The sequence below is a fragment of the Homo sapiens genome, chromosome 9 (genome assembly GCF_000001405.40).
Source record: "Homo sapiens chromosome 9, GRCh38.p14 Primary Assembly".
NCBI classification, from domain to species: Eukaryota; Metazoa; Chordata; class Mammalia; order Primates; family Hominidae; genus Homo; species Homo sapiens.
In genome coordinates this window covers 38,424,796-38,437,103 of record NC_000009.12, presented here as the reverse complement: position 1 = coordinate 38,437,103, position 12,308 = coordinate 38,424,796, and the positions used below count along the sequence as shown (strand labels likewise).

At 44.5% G+C, this 12,308-nt stretch overlaps 1 long non-coding RNA gene across 4 annotated transcripts in view, besides 1 other annotated feature; it reads right to left on the bottom strand.

Moving 5' to 3' along the window:
- Nucleotides 1-12,308, bottom strand: part of LOC105376041 (uncharacterized) — a 52,879-nt gene that overhangs the window by 40,386 nt on the left and 185 nt on the right. For 3 of the 4 annotated variants that reach the window (XR_007061486.1, XR_007061487.1, XR_007061485.1), the window contains exons 2-3: nucleotides 10,341-10,454; nucleotides 1,158-1,510 (exon numbers count right to left, since the gene is read on the bottom strand). This is a non-coding gene — a long non-coding RNA (uncharacterized LOC105376041). Of the gene's footprint in view, nucleotides 1-1,157; nucleotides 1,511-3,352; nucleotides 3,968-10,340; nucleotides 10,455-12,308 lie in introns of those variants that run through there. The other variant, XR_007061484.1, reaches the window with a different exon arrangement.
- Nucleotides 7,326-11,605: an enhancer, noted in NCBI's record as "VISTA enhancer hs1390". NCBI's record gives its function as "enhancer in: limb[6/6] | tail[5/6]" and the evidence as "EXISTENCE:transgenic organism evidence [ECO:0001131][PMID:17130149]".

Below are 12,308 nucleotides of genomic sequence, written 5' to 3'. Positions count from 1 at the left end.
AACAAGCGTGTCTTTCCCACCTTCTCCTTCCCCATCTGTTGGTTGGACTCTAAGGCTCTGAAGGATATAGAATCACAGGATGGAAGGCATCTGGGTCCATGAATCACCCTGCAGACAAAACTGTCCTCTACACAGGCTGTCCTCTCACAGACTAGTGCATGAGCAAGAAGCAAAGTTCTATTGTAATAAGCGGGTGAAGAGTGGGGCTTATTTGTTTTAGCAGCTGGTGTTACCATAGCAGACACAGCACAGAATGTAGAGGACTTGCAAGCACCACATGGTCCATCCTTTATTTTAAGGATAAAGCTTCATTTTGATGTAATTACCTCTTTAAATGTCCTATCTCCAAATACAGTTACATTCTAAGGTACTGAGAGTTAGGGCTTCAACACAGGAATTCGGGAGGGAGATACAGTTCAGTCCATAACACCCCTGATTGAATCAGCCATGGCGGAGTAGGAGACAGTCATGGAGGCAGTAAATAGACACCATAACTGACAAACCCAGGCCATTTGTGTTTGCCAACCCTGACCTCTTCACTCCTGCCTGGAGTGGCTCCTCCCACCTCTACTGATCGGCATCACTCTTGTTCATTAAATCCTGCCTCAAGCAGAATCTGCATGAAGTATCTTCTGATCTGCCGTGATGCAATATTCTGTCTGGACTTGGCCTACATCCTTTTATGTCATAAGTTTATTTGTTCATTTAACACATACTTACGGAGAAATAGTCAGGTGCAGTGGTTCCAAGTGTGGACTTGAGGGCCAACTCCATCATTTACCAGCTGTGTAACTTCAAGCAAGTTTCATTGTTAACCTCCCTGAGCCTCAGTTTTATCTAAGATAAGCTATGACCACCTTATGGACAGTGGGGCTGAAATGAGCTAGTAGATATAAAATACTTAGCAGGGTACCTGACAGACAGTAAGCACTCAGTGAACATTGGCTATCATTGGGAGCCGACTATGTGCCAGGTACTGAGCACACAGTCACAAAGTCACAGCCCCCTTCTAGGCCAGAGTGGCTTGGAAGCCACAGCTAGATCTGATTCAGCATGATATCTGGGATACAGGGGAGGCCCCATACATACTTATTCTCAAAATGAAAATGATGAAAGAAAAAAGAGAATGAGAAATACAAAGATTGAGTACAACATACCTCTTTTGCTGAATGTCTAAAAGCAAAGAATCACTGTAAATGCATTTCCTCTGAAACCAGGCTGTCTCCTTCACTGATAGAAGCAGTTCTTGGTACATCTTCGTCACATGGTTCATAAAAAAGAATTGCAAAGCTCTTCTCCTTCTAGGCACACAGAGATGCTCTCTTCCAGGAGTGCCCATCCAAAACGTGCTTCCTGGCTCCACTTCCCAGACTTCAAATGGATATTTTAAATTCTTGGATGATTGTGGCAAGTTTCCTCATAATCTTACAATTCCTCTCTTCATACCATTAAGGAAGAGTCATTATTGAGTTGTCACCAACCACTCTGGGGACACTGGGAAGGCAGCCATCTTAAAGTGGGGGAAAATAAAAAGCTAAGACATTGGCTTTAAAATGCTTAAATTCTGGACATTGGTTTTAAAATGCTTAAATTCCGGAAAATTTGGTTCATAGTAGTAAAGATTTACTTCTGAGGGGCTGTCATGCTCCAGGCTTGGACCCTTTTGAAACCAGCATGATAGATTTCATTTCCCTTCTCTTGGGCTTTCTCATTTTTGTGCTGAACTCAAACATAGAACTTGACATGTATCTCCAGAACATTTCAACATTTGATTTCTCTTCACCATGCTAAGCTATGCAAGCCTTTTTGAATATTGCTTTTCCTATCCAACGTATATTAATTTCTTTGGGGGCATTTGAATACTCTGAGTTCATCTAGGTTACCGATAAAAACATTGACGAGAACAGAGCCCTATAGCACTCCACTACCGACTTTTTTCCAGGAGTTAATGCAATGGTGCTGCAGTTGGCAGAGAGTGAGGAAAGAGATTACTGACTGCACCAGACCCAGGTTAGGAAGAGTTACTGTACTGGGGCCCTGTATGTAGCAGGGTTCACAGCCTGGGTGATGTCACAGAAGGAAATTCAACAGTGTATCACAAAGGTTGTGCTTGTTTCCTGAGTGTTGTAAGCTTATCACAGGCCAGCTTCTAGTTATTCTCTAGAGATATGGTTTAATTACTAACTTTAGAAACAAAAAAACTCAGATATCTAGAAGACCTAGTGCAATTTCTTCATTAAGTTGTGAAAGGAAAATCTGTCTCAGACCCTCACTAAGCTAAAGGGAAAAGTCAAGCTGGGAACTAAGTCAGGCAAATCTACTTCCCATTTTATTTCTAAATAAGATAGCCACAAAGCTTCAATTTAAAAAAAAAGCTACATACCTTTCTCATAATTTACCCACAAGGAAATTCTCTGTGGGCCTCAGGGTCTTTACCCTAAAACAGTTCTGTTGAATTTCACCTTGGCTATGTAAATTGATGGCTTATCTTCACACGTGCAGTACAAAGGACAGACAGAACTCAAAGTTATCCCTTTGTTCACCCCAGACAAATGCATATCTGATTGCTTCCTCTACCCTATTGTTTATGTAAAAGTGCAGATTCACTGAGCCAGACTAAGGGATAAGTGACTATTCCTCTACCCTCCTCTCACATGTAAACTGTGTATTCGGGGAAAGGCTAATCAGACACTCAAAAGAATGCAACCATTTGTCTCTTATCTACCTATGACCGAGAAGCCCCCACTTTGGCTTGTCCCACCACACCAGACAGAACCAATGTACTTCTTACACATGTTGATTGATGTCTCATCTCTTCCTAAAATGTATAAAACCAAGCTGTGCCCCGACCACCTTGGGCACATGTCGTCAGCACCTCCTCAGGCTGTATCACGAGTGTGTCCTTAACCCTGGCAAAACAAACTTTCTAAACTGATTGAAACCTGTCTCCGATATTTTTGGGTTCACAAAGTAATATCAATGGCTTTCTGGGACAGATAGAGTTTTGACTTGGGACTATTTTTCTCTCTTTGACAAGGAATGAAACCAACCTATATTCTGATCCTGCTCCTTCCCTGTTCTCTAACAGGTTTGCTTCCCCTCTGCTAGTAGAAGAAAGACAATCTTTTTAGCTGGGCATTCAGCGACCTTTGTAATCTATCCCCAACTAATCTTTCCAGACTATTCTAGAGAAAACTCAACTCTGGATAAGCCCACAGGAGAGCTGGGACTAACCTCTCAGGCCTATCCACCTCCCCTGTCTTCACTCATTCATTCACATCACAAAAATTTCAAAGTACTTATGTACCAAGGACTATGCTAGTCCCTGAGGATAAATGCTCTTGGGACACACCTTGTTTCTTCTTCCCAGGGAGGACAAGATCCTGGCTTCAGCACAGTATTCACCCTAGGGAGAGTTTGTGTTTTGCAATTTCACACAGACAGAATTCAGATCACAAAGGAAGAGATTACTGCATCAGAAAGCTGGCTGTGACCAGTTACCATGATGGGGCCTGTGAACAGGCAGGAGCGGAAGATCAGATTCTGCAAAGGCCATTTCTAGAGCACCAGGAGTGGGACCCATTTAAACTGAAGGCCAACCATGTATAAGAAAGAGCTCTGGGCTGACATACCGAGAAACTTGGGTGCTTGCCCCAGCTCTGCCCTGAAGAGCTGTGTGACCTTGAGTGAGTCCTCTCCTATTCTGCGCTGCAGGATGGAAAGTGAATATGGCCCCCAAAGACCCCTTTTTACCTGACTCAGTGCAGGTGTCATCTCTGTAGCTTTCCATGACCTCCCTCACCAACCTATTGCTTCAGGCATACCTCTGAACATTCACTGACTTCTGTATGCATTTCTGTTCTCTCCACCTGATAGACTCCTTATTCCAGCACTGTGGCTTGTAATTATTAGCAAATACATACTGAATTCAGAAATAAGGAACATCATCATTTCTAGATCTGTAATTCCAGCATTACCCACAAGGTGGCAATTTCCTACACGTGGTCCCAGCACAAACCTTACATTTGGATAGAAGCCCCAGGAAGGGCCAGGTGCAGTGGCTCATGCCTGTAATCCCAACACTTTGGGAGGCCAAGGTGGGAGGATTGCTTGAGTCCAGAAGTTCAAGGCTCCAGTGAGCTATGATTGCACCACTGCACTCCAGCCTGTGAGACACAGGAAAGGAGAACCAGAAGGACTTTCCAAAAGGCTCATCCTGTGGCCCCTGGTGGGTACGTGCTGTCCCCTTCCCCTCCACTTGTGAAGTCTCTGTCTGTCAGAAAGCAATACAGGCCTGCTCTACTGTGGCCAAGCCTAGGTTGCACTATTTCCAAGCTTCTCAGCTGGCCAGGAAAGACTGATGGTCTGGCTCTTACTGACGTCTCAGGTTTCCCCTCCTATGTCTCCACACCCCACACAACACCACAGCTGTGCTGAGCTTGCTCCTGCTCTTGACTGTGCTGTCCTCTCTCTGGTCCTCATGCCTTCCCATACACTGTTCCCTCCATGTGGATTCCCCTTCTGTATCATCCTTCCAGGCCAAAACCTACTGGCTCTCTGAAATTTAATTTAGGAAGTGCTCTGTCCAGGAGCTTTCCTTGACTCTCTTTTCCCCGAATACTCTTCAGTAGTAACATTCATTGAGCTGAAATTGCTTCCCTATCCACCCTACCTGGGCCACCTTCTTGAGCACACAGAGCATGGCTTCCTCAGCTACTCCCCAGTGTCCAGCACAGGCCAGGTGTACAGCGAGCCTTCTGAGAGCTTGCTGGATGAAGAACAAATGAGTCAATGCATCAGTGAATCTACAGATTAGGGATGTGATGTGGCAAGATGAACTGAGACCTGTACCCCTCCCCGGTATGGAAGAAATTTGAGAATAAGTGGGGGAAGAAGCTACAGCAGGTCCTTGAATAAAGTTGTCACATTCAACGCGATTTTTTTACAACATTGATGAGAAAAAAGGAAACCACCTCCAGCCAGGACCACTGTCTGTGTGGAGTTTGCACGTTATCCTCATGTCTGTGTGGGTTTTCTCCAGGAGATGCCTGAAGATGTGCACCACTGAGGGGAACTGGCGTGTCTGCATGGTCCCAGTGTGAGTGACTGTGGGTGTGTGTGAGCGTGCCCTGCGATGGTCAGGGTCAGTTCCTGCCTTGTGCTCTGAGCTGCTCAGATAGGGTTCAGCTCTTGCAACCCTGAGTAATAATTATCTTGTTCTTATTAATTTTTCTTAAATGTACCTATAGTTCACATTCATTTTAATGTTTATGATTAGAAGTATTTGGGGTTTTTATTTAGAAGTTTGGTAACGTTTTTATAACCAGAAATATGCCATAGGAACTTAACCTCTTGTCTGTATCAATGAGCCTACGTAAAATTGGTTTTGTTATACGTTGTCTCACTTAAAGTCAGTTTCCAAGAACCTATCCACGGTGTTAAAGAAGGACTTGCTGTGTAATTTTTTGTTGATCTGGATCAGAAAGCAATCAAGTGCTCTTAGCACAATAATGGTACATTATTATTTTGAAAGGAAAAAGGCCAAAGACATGAAAAAGGGGGCAGGTGCTTTCCTCCTATGAGACTAGGCTGTGCTGCCTTCTAAGAAAGTGAATTCTCCCATTGGCAAGATGAATTCTCTTTCAATTATTTGTGAGGAAACTGGCAGCAGATATTTTACCCTCCTGGTCAGAAAGGAAGTTCCAGGGCCTTCCACTTTGTGTCACAGAGCTGATGCTGGGATTTTGCTGGTTGCCAAGTGCATCTATTCTATTTAGGAAGTGGGGAAGTAACCACAGGATGTGTGCTCTGTGATCTGAACTTGGGCCCTGAGTGCTGTATTCCCCGACTTTGACTGTGGGCTATGGTGGTTCACTCTCGTAAACGGTCAGAGGTCCCTCTGGGGAGGGCTTACAGGATGGTTTATAGGATACATTTGTAAAGAGTCCTTCTTTAAGGGGACCCAGCCGTCCTTTCAAAGAAGAGGCTCTGGGTTAATACTAGGTCTGAAAATGGACAAGAAATTCTGGCTGTCCACTGTGGTGATTGAAATCAGCTTCTAGACACCAGATATGGAGTTTTCCCTGTTACATAAAGCACACAGCATTTTAGTAAGATGCCCATCTCTTTCAGTCCTAGGGACACTGTGACAACTAGCCAATGACAAGATTCCTGTGAGTCAAGACACAGTGATGTCCACCATTTTACTCCATTTTACTGCCCATTACAGTGTATGTGCCCTGCTCTGCCCTTGGCAGTTGGATGCTACCACTTGGCCTCTGCTATTCTGGGATCCCATGATTCCCAGTGGATTAAGGAGCCCATCACAGTGGTGTCATCTCTTATCTTCATATGTGGCCAATAGAGGAGAGCCACCACCAAGTCTTCAAGGATAGTAGTGGTCCCCTCGCTAATGAATTTCCCAATGTCATAGTGAAGGGAATGTCCTCTGGGCCCCCTTGGAGAATGTAGTGGTTGGTTGGGTGGGTGAGTGTGCGAGTTGTCTATAACAAATCTATTCCAACATCTCCCTAAGCCTTCTTATCCCATCCCCTACAACACACCAAGGATGTTCTGGCACCTCAATGTCTTTAAATATAGGTCACCATTGAGTCCCAGTTCCACTCAAACAGCTAAGTAAACTATAGAGCCCCTTCCCCCTGCACAAATCAACACATTGAATCCAGAATCTCTGATCAGTGTACCTGTATCAATAAATTTGACTTGATGCTAAGTTCTATTCTGCCTTCCTTGGTCTAACACCCTAAGAATCTATTCATGCACATATTCTCCAGGTTTCTACAATGTAATGTATCAAAATCTTGCCATTTTTTTGGTGTAGAAGCTAAATCTTCCCAGGGTAAACCTTGTATGTGCCCTACTCAAGTACATAGAGTTCTGATGTCAGTTGAAAGTCTAGTGGCCACAAGCCCTAGGTTTTGAGGAGAAAAGGTATCTCTTGCAAGGCAACTGCCTTGGGTGATCTTAACACAGGGTCCTTAAGCAAGGGAAAGAGAGTCTTCTCAGACATGACAGGCAAGCTGCTTCCATTGGCAAAGGAAGCTCAGAATGACTCAAGGGTTCAGGATTCTCAGCTTCATCTGAGTCCACCCAGATTTCTCCATTCCAAGTCTCAGGTTCTCATTCCCTAACTTTCACATAAGAGACTGGAAAGCCTGTGAATTCAACTTATAATTATGCAACACACACAATTACATTTTTTGTGTCATTTTCAGCAATACTGACCCTGTAGCTGCAAGAAATGTATTCTTATTTATCATTTAAATAAATAATTTGTATGATTATTGAAGCATATTTATAGTTAAGCTTTCTAGTTCTCTGATTGTGACCCATCTTTGACAGTTGTTTCCTGGGACCACTCCTGGTTCTATTAGCTAGATCACTCAGGCCTACCTAGTCAGATGACAAATAGAATTCATTTCTCTTTTTTTCTTTTTCAGGCATGCAACAGCTCTGTTCCCCAGGCTGGAGTGCAGTGGCTTGATCACAGCTCACTGCAGTCTTGAACTTCAAGGCTCAAGTGATCCCCCTACCTCAGCCTCCTGGGTAGCTGGAGGCATGTACCACCATGCCCAGCAAACTTTACATGTTTTTGCTAGTAGAAAAGAGGTCTCACTATGTTGCCCAGGCTGTTGAAGTCCTGACACAATCCTCCCCACAAACCTTGGGAGGTACAGGGATTACAGGCATGAGCCACTGTGCCAAGCCTACAAATGGAATGTAATATAAAGAATTATTGGGCCAGGCATGGTGGCTCACGCCTCTAATCCCAGCACTTTGGGAGGCCGAGGCACGTGGATCACCTGAGGTCAGGAGTTCGAGACCAGCCTGACCAACATGGCGAAACCCTGTCTCTACTAAAAATACAAAAATTAGCTGGGCGTGACAGCATGCACCTGTAGTCCCAGCTACTCGAGAGGCTGAGGCAGGAGAATCGCTTGAACTCAGGAGGTGGAGGTCGCAGTGAGCCAAGATAATGCCACTGCACTCCATCCTGGGTGACAGAGTGAGACTCCGTCTCAAAAAATAATAATTAAAAAAAAAAAAAGAATTATTGGCTGGGCACAGTGGCTCATGCCTGTAATCTGAGCACTTTGGGAGGCTGAGGTGGGCGGATCACTTGAGTTCAGGAGTTCAAGACTGGGATCGACAACATGGCAAAACCCTGTCTCTACAAAAAAAATACAAAAATTTAGCCAGGCATAGTGGCAAATGCCTGTAGTCCCAGCTACTCAGGAGGCTGAGGCAGGAGGATGGTTTGAGCACAAGAGGCAGAAGTTGCAGTAAACCAATATCGTGCTACTGCATTCCAGCCTGGGCGACAGAGCCAGACCCTGTCTCAAAAAAAAGAAGAAGAAGAGGAATTATTAACTAGGCAACTTGGAGGTAGCAACTGTGAAGCAGCTACCACCATGAGGGCTAGGAGAACAATGGAAATGGCTGGAATGACTAAAACTTAGATGCGTATAAGAGGGGTCCTTGGAGCTCAAACTGAGACCTCTGCAGGGTGTGCCACTAGGCTGATGCTAGTGTCACTGAGCTTGGAGAAAGAACCCCAGGGGGGCTGGGGCAGTTCATTCTGGGTGGGCCTGAACTCTAAAATCTTATCAGCACTGTGTGAGCCCCAAATCTCTGCTCAGCTCTCACCTCCCAGCAGCCTCCCTCAAGTCTTGCCCTGTACTTGTGCAGTACAGGGTCAGCCAAAGGTCTAAGACTTGTGGGATTCCCTCTCTGTGGTTCCTCATTTTCTGTCCTAGATCCCCAAATCTCTGCCTTACTCCTGAATTCTGATGTCTACCTCTTCTGTCCAGTGAGACCACTTGGCCTCCACCTCCCTGCAGAGTGGCCTGGAAAGTGTCCCCAGGGAGAATGCTTGGGTAGATGTGGGGCTCACATTGTGTACCCCCTGACGCTCTCAAGGATCACAGCCCTGTATTAGAACACTGTCCAGTGCCTGTCCATAGCTGTTTTCTTTAATTTGTCCAAGTTATATAGTGGTTTACAGCAGAACAGCAAATCCTCTACCATTCTTTTTCGTCTGCTCAGTATCTGAATTCCCATCTTTGCAGAGTTCTACATCTTGCTACATCCCCTTGCATGCAATATTGAAGTGAAATCTGTCTCCCTAAAAATCCCATCTGTCATTTATGGAACTTCCCTCTAGAAATTCACCTTGCCTTCTGCTCTGTAATCGCCCACCAGAGGTCTGGAGAAAGGGCTTTCACCTTCCTTTAGCTTGGAGAAGACTATCTATGATTGCCCTGACTATTAAAGCTTGAGGTTCAAATCCATGGCCTATTTATGGAGTGGCCTTTGCTCAACTGAGCTTCTATTCTCTTCCTCTGTGCTGGAAGCTCCCCAAGGACAGAGAATATCTGCCATTTATCTCTACGTTCAAGGGAGGAATTAATGGATGGGACATTCATACCCACTTCAGCAGCTGCCGGGTGGGCACACATCTGCTCTGAATGGGGGATTGGCTAGTCTTCCCTGTGTTGTGTTTGTTTTCAGGCTGGAGGCTGAAGAGGAAGAAAATCACACCCATTCTTGTTGCCTAATTACTTACCCAGGTGCATGGGATCTCTCCACCTGCCAGACAACAGAGGCACCTCAACCCCCCTTCCCGACTGGGAGAATTTGTCCCTACTTTCTCCTATCATCTTAGGGGGCCCACAGGTGTGGCCCACAGTGTTAACTGGTACTCTGGGAACCAGAGAGATGAAAGAGCACAAATGCCTCTGCTGGGCTATGGGCTTGCAGGCAATTTTAAAAGGAAATAGACATGACTGATCACCTTCAAAGCTTGGGAATGTTTTCTCCACCCAGATACAGGGGCTTTGATGCCACAGGCTCAGTGTTGGAAAATGAGTCTTCTGATTTAATTCTCAAAGAGTCGTTATGCATACATAGTACTCTCCCTACCATTTAAAAGGAATGTAGATCATATGTAAATGCGCCTCTGTGAGATTGTGTATCCTAACCTGCATTAAGCACACATTAATTTCATTATGACACCGTTCACTTACTCCTCCTTTAATGTCTGCATAAAAAGCAGGCAAATCATTTCTGTACACATTTATTTCTCAATCATGACCATGTTTTGTCCAGTCCAGGTCTCAGGGTCGGGCACTGTACTACAGGAATGGTGGCTCAGTTTGAGGTAATCAAACGTCAACTCCCCTGACCCCTACTTCTGACCCCCTCCATGCTCCTTGCCAAGACTCATTCTTAAACTCCTTCTTTGACAAGGACCTCACTATCTCTGGAGCAGCCTGATCTCTCTTTGGACAACTATGAACCATTAGAAAGTCTGAACTTACCAGCAAAGTTGTCCCTGAAAAGCAGCATGGAGTTCGCTTATCTCTTTTGTTTGCAAATCCTGCTTTGTTCATTTAACATTATAAGTGTTTCCTTCTCATAGTGAGACCCCATCTCTGAAAAAAAAAAATTGTTTAAATTAGCCAGGCGTGGTGGTGCTCACCTATAGTCCTAGATACTCAGGAGGCTGAGTGGGGGAGGACGGCTTGAGGCTCAGGAGTTTGAGGCTGCAGTGAGCTATGATCATGACATTGCACTCCAACCTGGGCAGCAGAATGAGGTACCATCTCTTTTTTTTTTTTTTTTTAAAAAAAGGGTTTCCTTCACATCATTAAAAACAATCTTAAATTTTTGCATGTTTACACATTCACATATTTACAAATATGCCATTACATTAGATGTGCACTTTTTAACCGCTATTTTACTAAACAATGTATTATAAACATGTTTTCATTTCTATTAACCCATATTTTCTTTCTAATTGTTAATGCCTGCATAATCCTCTATTGTTAGATGTACCATAATTTATTTAACGATTGCCTCTCGGTGGGCATTTAGGTCGTTAACTTTTTTTATTTTTATTTTATTTATTTATTTATTTTTTGCTATAGTAACCAACTCCAGGATGAAATCTTCACACATAGTGATCATTTTTTTAGGAGAGATTCCTGGAAGAGCACAGAGGGGTCAAGCGGTGAGAGCACTTTAAAAGGCCACTCCTGGTAAAGACAGCAGCCTCCAGGTTGAAAGTCACTGTTGATAGGTTCTGAGAGCTGCGCTGAGTGCATTACCAACATTGTTATATTTATTCCTTACCACCACCCCTTCATGGTGCCTAACCGCCCCTGCTCTGTGTGGCTGATTGTAAGGTAAGGCCTGGCGTGGACCAGGCAGATGGCCCTCCTCTGACCACCACATAAAGTGGCCTCAGAAGAGGCTCCTTTCTGGGGATAAGAAGACTGCAAACTGGGAAGGAACTGGGCTTGAAAAGCAAAATGAACCCCACCCAAGAACGGTGTAGCTGGTCTTCCCAGGCTGCAAGAGGCTTTCTCCATCTCCAGGAGTTCAGCAAAGAAAAAACAATAGAGCACAAGACACATGAGGGGTGGCCAGTAAAGGCAGGAAAAGTCTCCTATAAAACCTGCTCAGCGAGTCCCTCCCTCCATCCAGTGCATTTACCCAGCAACACATCAAATCCCAGCAGCCAAGACTCTCTTAGGTTTCTCGTCTGGGTGCCCTGCCAGAACTCAGGCAGGATGGTGTGCACAGAGCCTGGCCCAGAGAAGGCGCAACGGCGGCATGAATAACTGACTACAAGAAACTGCATCTTTCCAACATGCATTCCCCAGTAAGCCACAGGTACACTGACCCTTGTGCACCAAGACTTCATCAAAGCATTATTCGTATTAACCAAAGGATGGAAAATAAGTGGTTAAATAACTGCAACTAAACCCTGTGGAAAGGCCACTCTGTATGAACTCCAAAATATATCACCATATCTCATCACAACAAAGTCACTGTGGACGGAGATGTACCATGACTTTATGCAGCATTAAGAAACACACTCACAGAGCCAATGAACTATGCTCCCATTGATTGTATAAGAAACCCAGTTTCACAGATGACAAGAGGTGGGGAAACTGTGAAACACTGTAAGTGCAAAAACCAAGTGCAGACTAATGTGTATGGCACGCTACTCTGTGTGTGTGAGAGAGAAACAGAGTGTGTGTGTTTTAAAGGAAGGGGCTTTTTTAGGCACATGTACTTTTATAGGCATAGAGAAAATTTCTGAAAAGATATACAAAAACCCGATAGCAAGAGTGGCCTCTGGAAGCCGAGTTGGAGGATGGGGATACAAGGTGGTAGGGTAACCCTCTTTTCATCCTTAGATGTATATGTAAAATCTACATTTTAAACCATATATTCTCTTTATAAAATAAAACTTTGAAAACTACTGAATGCAAAATAAA